Below are 14809 nucleotides of genomic sequence, written 5' to 3'. Positions count from 1 at the left end.
ACCAAAGGGGCGTTCAACTCCCTGCAGCAGGGAGCTGAGCTTGAGGCCAGAGTCTTTCTGCCCTTCCTCACTGACACCCACAAGGGCTGCTCTGGCCTTAGAGATCGCCTGGCTGGAAACTCACAACTGTGTGTCTCCTGGATGTTTGGGAACATGAAAATCCAACAAGGTTCCACATCGCTGCTCCTGGGCGGAGTAGCCCGAGGCTCCAAGTGGGACAGCAGTCCCCAGTGTCCCCCAGCCTACCAGCTCTACCACATGGGGTGCTCCAGGCTGGGGACCCCTGGGAGGCCCTGAGGAGTGGTGGCTTGAAGAAGTGGGGGTGCTGCTGGTCGGTGGTCTCAGCGCTCCCCTGGGTTATGAAGGTCTTTGCACTTGCTTCTCCCTCTGCCTGGGACCCCCTCTTTGCCCCACCCGCTCAGGTCTCTTTGTAGATGTCACCTCCCAAATCTTCCCTCACCCCTCACTGCCATCCCGGGGCTTCCCTCCCCTTAGCCCTGAGCCCTCCAGCCACATGGAGTCCTTGGAGCCAATGTCAGGCTGATGGGGAAGGAGCTTCTTCTCTGGGAAAGCAGCCCCCAGAGACTCCAGCCTCCATAATGCGGCAGGATTCAGGTCACCCTGAAGTCAAAACCTCAGGTTGCCAGCCGCTGTCAGAGCCCCTGGGCCAGTCCAGACCCCTCCCACCTGCGGAAGCATGGAGCCCAGGAGGCCATGTTGGGCAAACAGGCTGTGCCCAGACAGTGCCCCAAGACCAACTCATCACACCCAGTGAGTCCTGGCAGAGAAGGAGCCAGAAGCCGGGGACAGAGCTTTCTCTGGGTTGGGCAAACGACGTGGTGTGAGGTCTGAGCAGCGTCTGGCTTCAACCTGCTGCTGCCACAGGCTGTGTGCCAAGAGAGGTCAGGGGACTGGCAAGAAACGAACTGTCCTCGGGCTGGCCCTCTGCCTACTTCCTGGTATAGAACACCCCGCCCCGGGGGTTCCCACGCGGCCCTGAGGGCTGGGCCCCAACAGCACAAAGCTCAAAAACCCAGCCTCCCAAGGCGGGCGGATCACCTGAGGTCAGGAGTTCAAGACCAGCCTGCCCAACATGGCAAAACCCCGTCTCTACTAAAAATACAAAAAATTTGCTGAGTGTGGTGGTGGGCACCTGTAATCCCAGCTACTTGGGAGGCTGAGGCAGGAGAATCACTTGAACCCAGGAGGCGGAGGTTGCAGTGAGCCAAGATCGCGCCATTGCACTCCAGCCTGGGTGACAGAGTGAGACTTCGTCTCAAAAAAAAACACAAAATACCAGCCTCATCCAGCTTAAAGGGCCAGCCTCCCCCGACTGCCTTTGCACAGCCAAGAAATACAGAGAGGGAAACTGAGGCTCAGTGACGGGCCAAGCGTGTGTGTCAGGCAGGGGCAGAGCTGGCACGAGGCCCCATCTCTCCTCCAGACGAGAAGGGAAAGTGTGCTTTGGTCGGGGAGTAGTGCTGCAGGCTCAAAAGAAGGAATGAGAGAGAGAGGCTCAGGGTGCCCACTGACGGGCCTGGTAGGGAGATGGGGCCTGATGCGGCCCCATCCTGAAGCTGCCCCTCCCACCCCCAGTGGGGCAGCCAGGTTAGCACGTGACCCCTTGGCTGGCAGACACGCAGAACAGGGCTGTCCTGGAGATGAGCCAGGTGTGACCCATACCCCCATACCAGACAGCATTCTGGGCATTGAGTCACAGACCTGAGGTTCCCAGTCATTAGGTCAGGTGAACAGACTGCAGTAAGGGTGACAGCGTGTTACTGACCACATGGCTTCCAAAGGCCGTGGTGTCAGCCGGGTTCAGAGGGGTCCTGTTGAGAGAAGCTGACCTTGGACTCTGGCCTCCAGAAGCTGCAAAGGACTGGCCTCTTTCCCTCCTCCAGCTTCAGCCACCCCCAGACCAAGGCACTAGACGGTCCAGCTCCTACAGCCACAGCACCCTGGGGCTGTCTTCAGGGAAACTCACCCCAAGATTCCATGCATTCATTCACTCACTCATTCATTTATGCTCTGTTTGCTGAGCCTCCACTCTGTACCATGATCTACACGGGGCACACCTTGGGCATCAGGGAATTCCCTCTCCTTGCCCTCAGGTTGTCCCAGTCTGACCGAGGAGACAGACAGACAGACACACACACACACACACACACACACACACACACCATACACACCATACACACCATACACACCACACACACACACTATGGTTGGGGCTTTGATGAGTACAACGTAGGGGATGGAGTACACAGAGAAGTTGTGTGTGTGTGTGTGTGTGTGTGTGTGTCTTCCTGGGGTCAGGGGAGGGTTATAGGCACAGCAGAGAAGACTTCTGGGAGGAAGTGTCCTTCGAGCTGGGTTTTGAGGGAGAAAGAAGAGTTGGGCCACAGTGGTGAGGAAGTGTCCTGCGGCCTTCAACACTGCCTCAGCAACTTTGGAAGTAGAGCCCCCCTCCCACATCCTTCACCCCCACCTTACTCACTCACAACAGCCTTATTTCCTGGGCTGAGAGCTGAGGCCTCAGACATGGCCCACAACCTCACACTAACTCGTTTACAACTAGAACAGCACTACTTTAACAAGACACTGATGATGTTTTATGTGTTTTTATTTTATTTTATTTTATTTTATTTTTTTTTTTTTTGAGACGGAGTCTTTCTCTGTCGCCCAGGCTGGAGTGCAGTGGTACAATCTTGGCTCACTGCAAGCTCTGCCTCCCGGGTTCACGCCATTCTCCTGCCTCAGCCTCCCAAATGGCTGGGACTACAGGCGCCCGTCACCACGCCTGGCTAATTTTTTTGTATTTTTAGTAGAGACGGGGTTTCACCGTGTTAGCCAGGGTGGTCTCGATCTCCTGACCTCGTGATCTGCCTGCCTCGGCCTCCCAGAGTGCTGGGATTACAGGCATGAGCCACCGCGCCCAGCCCGCCTGGCTATTTTTAGTTATTTATGTATCGTGAGTCAGGGTCTCATTCTGTTGCCTAGGCTGGGGTGCAGTGGCATGACCATGGCTCATTGGAGCCTCAACCTCCAGGGCTCAGGTGATCGTCCCACCTCAGCTTCCCAAGAAGCTGGGACCACAGGCATGTGCCACCATGCCTGGGTAATTTTTGTATTTTCTGTAGAGATGGGATTTTGCCATATTACCCAGGGTGGACTGATGATGTTTTTAAAAGAAGATAGGCTGGTGCGGTGGCTCACGCCTGTATTCCCAACACTTTGAGAGGCCGAGGTGGGTGGATCACGAGGTCAGGAGAGTGAGACCTCCTGGCCAACATGGTGAAACCCCGTCTCTACTAAAAATACAAAAATTAGCGGGGTGTGGTGGCGTGCGTCTTTAGTCCCAGCTACTAGGGAGGCTGAGGCAAGAGAATCACTTGAACCCATGGGGCGGAGAGGAGCCGAGATCGCGCCACTGCACTCCAGCCTGAGCGACAGAGTGAGACTCTGTCTAAAAATAAATAAATACATAAAAAATAAAAGAAGATAAAGAGGAGTTTTTGGTGGACTTGTAGAATTCAGGGTCTGGGATCACACAGACCTAGGTTTGAGCATAGATTCAGCCACTTATTGGCTGAAACGTTTGTCTTTCTGAGCCTCCGTTTCTTCATCTGTGAAATGGGTGCTCATGAAGCTTTGGCAAGGCTGAAGTGAAGTGACTCATCAGATGTGTCCAACATAGTGCCTGGCCTTGGGTCAGCTCTCCATAAGGCCCTGATCTTGGCTGTTAGAGAGTTTCCTGAGACAGAGGCTGGGCCGGGCACTTGCTGTTTGGAGAAGGGGAGGAGACATTATTCTCGCTTCTCCAAGAGAACATTCCATCCTCAACTGTCTCTCACACTCTGAGCTCCAGCCTGTACCTGCCACCTCCCCAGACTCCATCCAGCTCCTGCTGCCAAGGTGAGGAAGAAAGGATGGCCACCATCAGCAGGGCTGGCGACAGTGGGGCCTGCGTTTCCCCGTCCGGGTCATTCACTACTTCTGACTCCTAGAGTCCATTACCCCCTCTTTGGAAAGGTCACCTCCCCATTCTCAGTTCATGTGGCTCAGGGAGGAGAGGCCTTTTCTGACCCCAGCCTACTCCATGGCTGGCCTATGAGAGGGCGCACCCCCCGGGCACTGCGACTGGTCAGGGATGAACATATCACCAAGCCTGGCCAATGAGATGCAGCCTGGGGACTTCAGCTGGGACCCTGAGGCAAGGTGACCTCTCTCCACTGGGGTAGCCTCATGGGCAGCAATGGAGCTGGCCTGAAGCTGCAGACCACCATATTGCTGTCGCAGGAGAGAGGCTGCCAGGGAGGAAGCTGGACCGCCAGACGTGCGTCTGCAAGCCCAGGTGCCTCAACCTGCAGCCCAGAGAAAACCTCCAGGCCTCTGCCAACCTGCCCCGGTGCAGCAAGAGTCCAGCCTGGGCAAGGGGATTCGGAGGCTTGAGCTCGGGCCCCAGGCCAGCCCCAGCACTGATCTGCGCAGGACCCAGGGCCAAGCACTGCCTTGTTCTGAACTTCTGTCAACAGCAGGCCCTGTCCCTGCCCTGTGGAGTGCACAGGGCTGACAAGGCCCAGGCAAGGAGACAAGGTGGACAGGTGAGGGCCATGGCAGTCCCCTACTCCACAGGGCAGCAGCCCCAGGAGAGGGAGGGGAGGCAGGCTGGCCCACCCTGCTCCCCTCACCCTGCCATGCCAGTCCCTGACCGGCATCCTGGCCTCCCACAGGGCACTGACCCACAGCCAGGGAGAAACAGACGAGCTGGAAGCTTCACACTCCTGGGTTTGAATTCGCACCCCACCACCTCCCAACTGTGTGATTTGGGGCAAATGACATCACCTCTTTGAGCCTCACTTTCCTCATCTGCTACCAGGAAATGGAAAGAGCGCCTCATCGGCCATCGCCGCAGGCACTGGGCTTGTGTGTCCCCGATGTCGCCCTGGTTTATCTCCACGTCCCCATGAGAGACGCCACCACTGCCTGTTCCAAATGAGGAAACAGGAAAATGAGACTCAGGCACATGAAGCGACCAAAAAACCACAAACCCACAGAACTGGCAGAGCCGGGCTCGCACCCCCAGCTTTCCTGTTCTAAAGCCAGTCCTGCCTCAGCCTCCTGGGGCCTGGCACCCGGTGAGTGCTTGGCACAGGGGCTTGGCACCGGTGAGTGCTTGGCAAATGCTGGCTATTATCCTAGAAGGACATTTCTTGGGGTAGGAGGCCCTGGCTGCTTGTTGAGCTGCCCCACACCTGGTGTCCCTTCTGCAATGTGGAATTCCCCATTGAGGGGGTCTTGTTGAGCGCGGGGACCAGAGCCTTGTTCCTCCATTCCCCAGCCTCTAGAGCTCAGGCCTATAGGCCCAGCTGCTTTGCCTTAACACCTCTGCCTCATCAAGGTTCAGTTGGGAAAATGGCATTTCAAGCAGGAAAGGACTGAACACGGGGAATTTGAGGCTTGCAAAACCTTCCAAAGAGCTGAGGGGCAGCCACACCTGGTCCAGAAGTTAGGATTTGTAGCCTGGCATGGTGGTGCACGCCTGTGGTCCCAGCTACTCAAGAGGCTGGGGCAGGAGGACTGCTTGAGCCTGGGAGGTCAAGGCTGCAATGAGCCATGATTGCACCACTGCACTCCAGCCTGGGTGACAGAAAGAGACCCTGTCTTAAGAAAAAGAAAGAAAAGAAACTAGGACTGGAGGAATTGCAGGAGCATGCACCACTCGGAGGGGGGCTGGTCAGCCCCAGGAGACCCCCAGAAGTCACTGGCAAAGTGTCACATCTGGCAAAGCCCACCCCTGCCTGCCACTGCACCTCCCCACAGCCTTCCAGGTGTCAGGCAAATGCCCGTGACTGACAGGCTGTAACCCAGAACCCTGCTGCAGGGGCTTCAAGGAAACGTGGCTGTCAGGCTTCCAGCCCCTGCAGCCCCCTGCAGCCACAGAGCAGGGAAAATGGTGCTGAGTGTCCAAGGCCCTCAGCCCTAAGAGGACTGCAAAGTGCCCTGCACTGACCTGGCACACAGGTGCCCCCAATGCAATGCCGCCTCCTGCTCCTCATGCGTGTGGTCCTGGGCAGGTTGCCAAATTGCTCTGTGCCTGCCTCCTTGTCTGCAAAATCAAGATAATAATAACCCCCACCCCACAGGGCTAATGTGAGTATTCTTTGTGATAATCCATGTAGGAAGTTTGGCACAGGGGCCTGGCACCCAGTGAGAGCTCAACAAATACTGGCTGTTATTGTCTTAGAGGACATTTCTCGGGGTAGGAATCCCTGGCTGCTTGTTTAGCTGCCCTGCATCTGGTGCCCCTTCTGCAATGAGGAATTCCCCACTGAGGGGGTCTTGTTGAGCATGGGGACCAGAGACTTGCCCCTCCATTTCCCAGCCTCTAGAGCTCAGGCCTATAGATTCCTCCACAAAGAATCCGGGCCCACTGGGACCTCTTCCCAGTGGCTATGGCTGCAGCGTCCCAGAGTGGCACTGTCCCTGATGGTGACATCCACAGTGTCAGCAGTGGTTACAGCGGCCCCTAGACCAGCCTATTCCTGGGGTAACCCAGGCTGTGGGGCAGCTTCCTGCCTCCTTGAGCTCCTCCTTCTTTCCAAGCCAGGTTTCCTAGCCTTCCCAGGGGTCTAAGAAAAACCTTCCAATAAATTATTTTGCGTCTTAACGTGGGTCGGGACCTTGTCTGCAACCTTGGGGCTGTGACATGGGGCTGTGGTTCTCACAATTCTGGGGAAAGATTTGAGAGTGAATGAAGGTACCAGGACACATCCGTGGATGGGAAAATATGTGGCCACTGAAGGTGGTATTTTCTTTTTTTTTTTTTTTTTTCAGATGGAGTCTTGCTTTGTCATCCAGGCTGCGGGTGCAATCTCGGCTCACTGCAACCTCCACCTCCCGGGTTCAAGCAATTCTCCTGCTTCAGCCTCCTGAATAGCTGGGACTACAGGCATGCACCACCATGCCCAGCCCATTTTTGTATTTTTAGTAGAGACAGGATTTCACCGTGTTGGCCAGGCTGGTCTTGAACTCCTGACCTCAAGTTATCTGCCTGCCTTGGCCTCCCAAAGTGCTGGGATTAAAGGCGTGAGCAACTGCGCCTGGCCTGAAGGTGGTATTTTCAAAGAACATTTGCAATGACTTGGGGGGACGGGCGCAGTAGCTTATTATGCCTGACATCCCAGCTACTTGGGAGGCTGATGTGGGAATATCACTTGAGCCCAGGAGTTCGAGGCTGCAGTGAGCTATGATTGTGCCACTGCACTCCAGCCTGGGCGACAGAGCGAGACCTCATGTCTGAAAAATGAAAAAAATTACTCAGGAGCCAGGGGCAACGATCGTGCTAAATGTTTCAGTTGAAGTGCAACTGACATGTAATAAAGTCCACAAACCTTAAGGTATAACTCAATTTTTTTGTATGGTGGTAAAATAGATATAACATAAAATCTAACATCTTCACCATTTTTAAGTGTACGGCTCAGTGGTGTTAAATACATTCACAACATGACTCAACTTTTTTTTTTTTTTTTTTTGAGACAGAGTTTCGCTCTTGTCGCTTAGGCTGGAGTGCAGTGGCGCAATCATAGTTCACTGCAACCTTCACTTCCCAGGTTCAAGCGATTCTCCTGCCTCAGCCTCCTGAGTAGCTGGGATTAGCGCCTGCCATCATTCCTGGCTAATTTTTATACTTTTAGTAGGGTTTCACCATGCTGGCCAGGCTGGTCTTGAACTCCTGACCTCAAGTGATCTAGCCACCTCAGCTTCCCAAAGTGCTGGAATTAAAGCCATGAGCCACCGTGCCCAGCCCCAAGTATCTTTTATGTCTTTATTTCTTTTTTTTTTTCTTTTGAGATGGAGTTTCGCTCGTCACCCAGGCTGGAGTGCAATTGCGCGATCTTGGCTCACCGCAAACTCTGCCTCCCGGGTTCAAGCGATTCTCCTACCTCAGCCTCCCGAGTAGCTGGGATTACAGGCATGTGCCACCATGCCCGGCTAATTTTGTATTTTTAGTAGAGACAGGGTTTCTCCATGTTGGTCAGGCTGGTCTCTAACTCCCAACCTCTGGTGATCCACCTACCTTGGCCTCCCAAAGTGCTGGGATTACAGGTGTGAGCCACCACTCCTGGCCTTCTTTTTTTTTTTTTTTAAGATGGAATCTTGCTCTGTCCTCCAGGCTAGAGTGCAGTTGCGTGATCTTGGCTCTCTGCAAACTCTGCCTCCCGTGTTCAAGCGATTCTCCTGCCTCAGACTCCCGAGTAGCTGGGATTACGGGTGCCCACCACCATGCTCAGCTAATCTTATGTATTTTTTTTAGTAGAGACAGGGGTTTCACCATGTTGGCCAGGCTGGTCTTAAACTCCTGACCTCAGGTGATCCACCCACCTTGGCCTCCCAAAATGCTAGGATTACAGGCATGAGCTACTGTGCCCGGCTAACTCAATTATTTTTGACAAGCCATATGCCTGTGTACCCACCACCTAGCTCAAGATACAGAACATTTCCAGCCCCCAGAAGGCTCCCAAGTGCCTCTTCTCAGACAACACTTGCCAAAAGTAAACCATTATCCTGAACATTATCCTCAAACTCCCATAGATTAGTTTTGCCTCTTCTAGAGCCCCAAATAGGCAGTATCACACAAGCACACTCTTTTGCCTGCCTTCCTTCGCTTCATGTATGTCTGGAAGATTCCCCTTCATTGTCAAGTACATGGGCACTCACTGTTCTTCACTGCTTTGTGGTATCCAATCGCATGATGGGAAAGGCAAATAAAATCTTGGAATCCCAATTCACTCTGCCAAAAGAAAAAAATTAAGCTGAAAGCTGAGTCAGGCAAGAAGCTGCTTCTCCTTTTGTTCCTAAGCAGAGAGCCACGGATAAAAGGTTAAATATCTACACTCTGCATTCACCTTATCTTGTGTAAAATGCCGATGTAGAAGCACTAGATGAATATGTCACTATTCCCCTCCCTGCTCCTTTTCTCTTCCAACATACGGATTTAATAATGTGACCATCCCCTCCCTCCTTCCCCTCCAGCCTGCTTTTCCCCTTTAAATACTGAAGCCCTCAAAATCATCTTTGATGATTGGGGCTCAGACTGGGAGAGCTCTTGGCTTTGCAGAGAAAAGAATTCAAGGGTGAGCAAACAAGACAGAGCAAAGCAAACACAAGTTTATTAGAGCAACAGTGCAGGAAAATGGCTGCTCCGTAGAGCAGTAGCGGCAGCCCTCGTGGATTGCTGGCCAGCTATATTTATGTCTATTCCTTCATTATATGCTAAATAAAGGACAGGCTATTCACGAGTTTTCTGCAAAAGGAGTGGGGAGTTTCTGGAAGCAAGGGTTTCTACCTTTTTTTAATTTTTATTTTATTTATTTATTCATTCATTCATTCTTTCTTTCTTTCTTTTGAGATGGAGTTTCGCTCTTGTTGCCCAGGCTGGAGTACAGTGGCATGATCTTGGCTCATGGAAACCTCCGCCTCCCGGGTTCAAGTGATTCTCCTGCCTCAGCCTCCCGAGTAGCTGGGATCACAGGCGATGAGCCACCAAGCCTGGCTAATTTTGTATTTTAGTAGAGACGGAGTTTCACCATGTTGGTCAGGGTGACCTCAGGTGATCTGTCCCACCTCGGCCTCCCAAAGTGCTGGGATTACAGGCGTGAGCCAGCCTGGCTTTTTTTTTTTTTTTTTTAATTTGAGACAGAGTCTTGCTCTGTCTCCCAGGCTGGAGTGCAGTGGCGCCATCTCGGCTCACGGAAACCTCCGCCTCCCGGGTTCAAGCGATTCTCCTGCCTCAGCCTCCTAAGTAACTGGGACTACAGGTGCCTGCCACCACGCCCGGCTAATTTTTGTATTTTTCGTAGAGACGGGGTTTCACCACGTTAGCCAGGATGGTCTCGATCTCCTGACCTCGTGATCCACCCGCCTCCCAAAGTGCTGGGATTACAGGCGTGAAACACCACACTGGGCCTCTACCCTTTTTAAACTGTATAAGGTAGCTTCTGGGAGTGGCCACAGTATTTGTAAACTGTCACGGTGCTGGCGGGAGTGTCTTTCAGCATGCGAAGGCATTATAATTAGTGCACAATGAACAATGAGGGCATCTAGAGGTTGCTTTGGTCACCGTGTTGGTTTTAGCTAGTTTTGGCCAATGTCTTTCCTGCATCCTCTTTTGATCAGATCATGTTTTGTTCAGCAAGGTCTTGTGACTGGTGCTCAGAAAACAAGTCCTGCTGATCTCTAACCTTATTCCTTCCCGGAGAGACTGTAGAGTCCTCTTCAATCTTTGTTTTGTTTTGTTTTGTTTTGAGCCCGAGTCTCGCTCTGTCGCCCAGGCTGGAGTGCAGTGGCGTGATCTCAGCTCACTGCAAGCTCCGCCTCCCAGGTTCATGCCTTTGTCCTGCCTCAGCCTCCCAAGTAGCTGGGACTACAGGCGCCCACCACCATGCCTGGCTAATTTTTTTTGTATTTTTAGTAGAGATGGGGTTTTACCGTGTTAGCCAGGATGGTCTGTATCTCCTGACCTCGTGATCCACCCGTCTCGGCCTCCCAAAGTGCTGGGATTACAGGCGTGAGCCATCGCACCAGACCTTTTTTTTTTTTTTTTGGACAGAGTCTTGCTCTCTCACCCAGGCTGGAGTGCAGTGGCACCATGTTGGCTCACTGCAACCTCTGCCTCAGCCTCCTGAGTAGCTGGGATTAAAGGCGCACGCCACTACTGCATGGATAATTTTTTGTACTTTGAGTAGAGACGGGGCTTCACCATGTTGGCCAGGCTACTCTCCAACTCCTGACCTCAGGTGATCCGCCTGCTTCGGCCTCCCAAAGTGCTGGGATGACAGGCGTCAGACTCCTCCTTAATCTTAAAAAGTGGTAGAAGGGCAGAGGTCCACCCTCTACAACTGCTTCCTGCTGATCTTATGGGCATAGGCTCTGCCTGGTGTTGGAGGAGTGAAAATCTCTGGTTGCCTGATCTAAGGACCCCAAAGGCAGGAGATCTTTATTTTCCAGGCTAGAAGACAGGATGGGTCAGAAACCTAGTGCAAGCATCATTTCCACATGGAATTGTTATAATCTAGAAGACACGAACTTTACTAAGAGGTTAAATAAGTAAAGGCCAAACAAAGATCAATAGTAACAAGAGAGCTATTAAAGGTCCTAGGTAAAAACCAAGTCACTGCCGGTAGAAACCCCTTATGGAATTCCGCATAGTAGTCTGGGTATTGGGGTTGTGAACACCATGTAGCCACTTGGCTTGTTCTTTTTTTTTTTTTTTTTTTTTTTTTTTTTTGAGACGCAGTCTTGCTCTGTTGCCAGGCTGGAGTACAATGGCGCAATCTTGGCTCACTGCAACCTCTACCTCCTGGCTTCAAGCGATTCTCCTGCCTCAGCCTCCTGAGTAGCTGAGACTACAGGTGTGCACCACCACACCCAGCTAATTTTTGTATTTTTAGTAGAGGCAGGGTTTCACCATGTTGGCCAGGATGATTTCGATCTCTTGACCTTGTGATCCACCCGCCTCAGCCTCCCAAAGTGCTGGGATTACAGGCGTGAGCCAACATGCCTGGCCCTTTTTTTTTTTTCTTTTTCTTTTTTTTTTTGGAGACAGGGTCCCACTCTGTCTCCCAGGCTGGAATGCAGTGGCATAATCTTGGCCTACTGCAGCCTCTGCCTCCCAGGTTCACACAATTCTCCTCCCTCAGCCTCCGGAGTAGCTGGGATTACAGACATGTGCCTCCATGCCTGGCTAATTTTTGTATTTTTCCTAGAGATGGGGTTTCACCATGTTGGCCAGGCTGGTCTCCAACTCCTGACCTCAAGTGATTCACCCTCCTTGGCCTCCAAAAGCACTGGACGTGAGCCACTGTGCCCAGCCTTGTTCATATATTTTGTCGGTATCTTCCTCTACTTGACCTGAGTTGTTTACATAGGTACAGCAGGTTTTATTAATCACAGCATATACCTGTCATTGTTCAGCCAACAAATAGTCTAATGCCAATCTATTATCCATAACTATATCTGCTATAGAATCGAGAGAGTCTCAATTTATCTAAAGTATCTCCCATTTTATAAGAAGGTATGTAGAGTGAAAAGTAAAGTTTTGAAGAGTTGCCTCATGTTAGGCAAATCCTCCCCATGGGGCCAACAAGCCCACAGCAGCCCTGACCCCAGACAACAGAAGGCCAATTGCTCACTTAGTGCTTGGGCAAGTGATGTTGTATAATTGTATATTAGAAGGCTTCGCCTGTCTTTTTTTTGTTTTGTTTTGTTTTTGTTTTTGTTTTTGTTTTGAGACAGAGTCTTGCTGTGTCGCCCAGGCTGGAGTGCAGTGGCACGATCTCGGCTCACTGCAAGCTCCGCCTCCTGGGTTCACGCCATTCTCCTGTCTCAACCTCCCGAGTAGCTGGGACTACAGGCGCCTGCCACCACGCCCGACTCTATTTTTGTATTTTTAGTAGAGACAGGGTTTCACCATGTTAGCCAGGATGGTCTTGATCTCCTGACCTCGTGATCCGCCCGCCTAGGCCTCTCAAAGTGCTGGGATTACAGGCGTGAGCCACCGCGCCCGGCCGGCTTCACCTGTCTTACTATATGTTGACCTTTGAGCCAAATGTTATCAACACATTGGTACCCGTGGTCTCAAATGAGGAATGAGTTGTTTATAGGCTGATTGATTTAGTGGGCATCCATATAGCCACAGATATCCACTGTGGGTCACAGACTGGAATGGGATGGGAGCTGTTAAGGTTAAGTACCGCTGGGCGCAGTGGCTCACGCCTGTAATCCCAGCACTTTGGGAGGCCAAGGCAGGCGGATCACTGGAGGTCAGGAGTTTTGAGACCAGCCTGGCCAACATGGCAAAACCCTGTCTCTACTAAAAATACAAAATTAGCCAGGTGTGGTGGCACATGCCTGTAATCCCAGCTACTTGGGAGGCTGAGGATCACGCCACTGTACTCCAGCCTGGGAGACAGAGCAAGACTGTGTCTCAAAAAAAAAAAAAAAGGTTAAGTACCTGTGTTATTCAAGGGGTGCTTTGGTTTAAGCATGAATGGGATGGGGGGAAAGTAGTAATTTAATGTGATACCAGTATTATGGGGAGCAGTTATGGGAATTGAGAAAGACACTGTTGTTTGTAGAGGGACTAAGGCCCTCCAAGGGGGACAAGAAGAATTATAATTGGTGGTACCATCAGGGAAAATATGTGTGGAATTCCAAGGCGAGGAAATATAGTGAGGCCTGGCTGACTCTCCCTCCCCCTACCCACTTCCTGTCATGGCCTCAACTAGATTTTCAGGTGCATGTGTTTTTTTTTTTTTTTTTTTTTTTTTTTCTGGTCATGGTATGCCAGAGGCAGTATCATGGCCAAGCTTTTATTGTGCCCCATATCGATGCCAGGGTGGTGTGCTACCTGCCCTGGCTATATTATGTCCCTAAGTGGGACCGCTGTGGCCAAGAGACTTAGAATCAAAAGACGTGTAGACAGTTAAATATGCTAGGCCAGATGAAATGGAGGTGGACAGGCACTCATTCATCCCTTTTTTTTTTTTTTTTTAGACAGAGTCTCGCTCTGTTGCCCAGGCTGGAGTGACCCTGGGAGGTGGAGCTTGCGGTGAGCTGAGATCACGCCACCGCACTCCAGTCTGGGCGACAGAGCGAGACTCCATCTCAAAACTAACAAACAAAAAATTGAAAAGCAAAATTTCTTATAATTTCATTAAGAGCAAATCAATACCTTAAGCAGACCTTCTTTTAACATAGGGGACCATTCCTTAGAAAGGAGAAATAATCTCCTTTTAATCGCAGCTAACTTAATCACAAACAAAATTCCTGTTTTTGTAAATTCCCCTTTACAAATCTTTTTTTTTTTTTTTTTTTTTTTGAGACGGAGTCTCGCTCTGTCGCCCAGGCTGGAGTGCAGTGGCGGGATCTCGGCTCACTGCAAGCTCCGCCTCCCGGGTTCACGCCATTCTCCTGCCTCAGCCTCCCAAGTAGCTGGGACTACAGGCGCCCGCCACTACGCCCGGCTAATTTTTTGTATTTTTAGTAGAGACAGGGTTTCACCGTTTTAGCCGGGATGGTCTCCATCTCCTGACCTCGTGATCCGCCCGCCTCGGCCTCCCAAAGTGCTGGGATTACAGGCCTGAGCCACCGCGCCCGGCCTCCCCTTTACAAATCTTATCACAACTTACACAAACCATCTATGTCCTGCTTGGACTTTCTGACTTGTCCTAGACTATTTCTCTCTTTCTTCATTTTCTCTTTCTTTTTTTTTTTTTGAGATGGAGTTTTGCTCTTGTTGCCCAGGATGGAGTGCAATGGTGTGATCTCAGCTCACCACAACCTCCGCCTCCCAGGTTCAAGCAATTCTCCTGCCTCAGCCTCTCTAGTAGCTGGGATTACAGGTCTGTGCCACCATGCCCAGCTAATTTTGAATTTTTAGTAGAGACGGGGTTTCTCCATGTTGGTCAGGCTGGTCTCGAACTCCCGACCTCAGGTGATCCACCCGCCTCAGCCTCCCAAAGTGCTGGGATTACAGGCATGAGCCACCACACCCAGCTTCTCTCTGTCTTCCTTCCTTCCTTTCCTTCCTTCCTTCTCTCTCTCTCCCTCCCTCCCTCCATCCCTCCCTCCCTCCCTCCTTCCTTCCTTCCTTCCTCTCTCTCTCCCTCTCTCTCCTTCCTTCCTTCCTTCTTTCCTTCCTTCTTTCTTTCCTTTTTTAAAGACAGGGTCTTGTTCTGTTGCTCAGGATGAAATGCAGTGGCACAATCTTGGCTCACTGCAGCCTGAATCTCCTCGGCTTAAG

General features: G+C 51.7%; 1 annotated feature.

Moving 5' to 3' along the window:
• Window positions 6877-7077: a silencer, noted in NCBI's record as "fragment chr11:67907579-67907779 (GRCh37/hg19 assembly coordinates)". NCBI's record gives its function as "represses an EF-1alpha promoter that drives an FKBP-Casp9 reporter gene in an ReSE screen in K562 erythroleukemia cells {active_cell/tissue: K562}" and the evidence as "EXISTENCE:reporter gene assay evidence [ECO:0000049][PMID:32094911]".

This window comes from Homo sapiens, chromosome 11 (assembly GCF_000001405.40).
Source record: "Homo sapiens chromosome 11, GRCh38.p14 Primary Assembly".
NCBI lineage: Eukaryota > Metazoa > Chordata > Mammalia > Primates > Hominidae > Homo > Homo sapiens.
The sequence above is the reverse complement of the archived record's forward strand: the minus strand, read 5'-3'. Positions and strand labels throughout refer to the sequence as shown.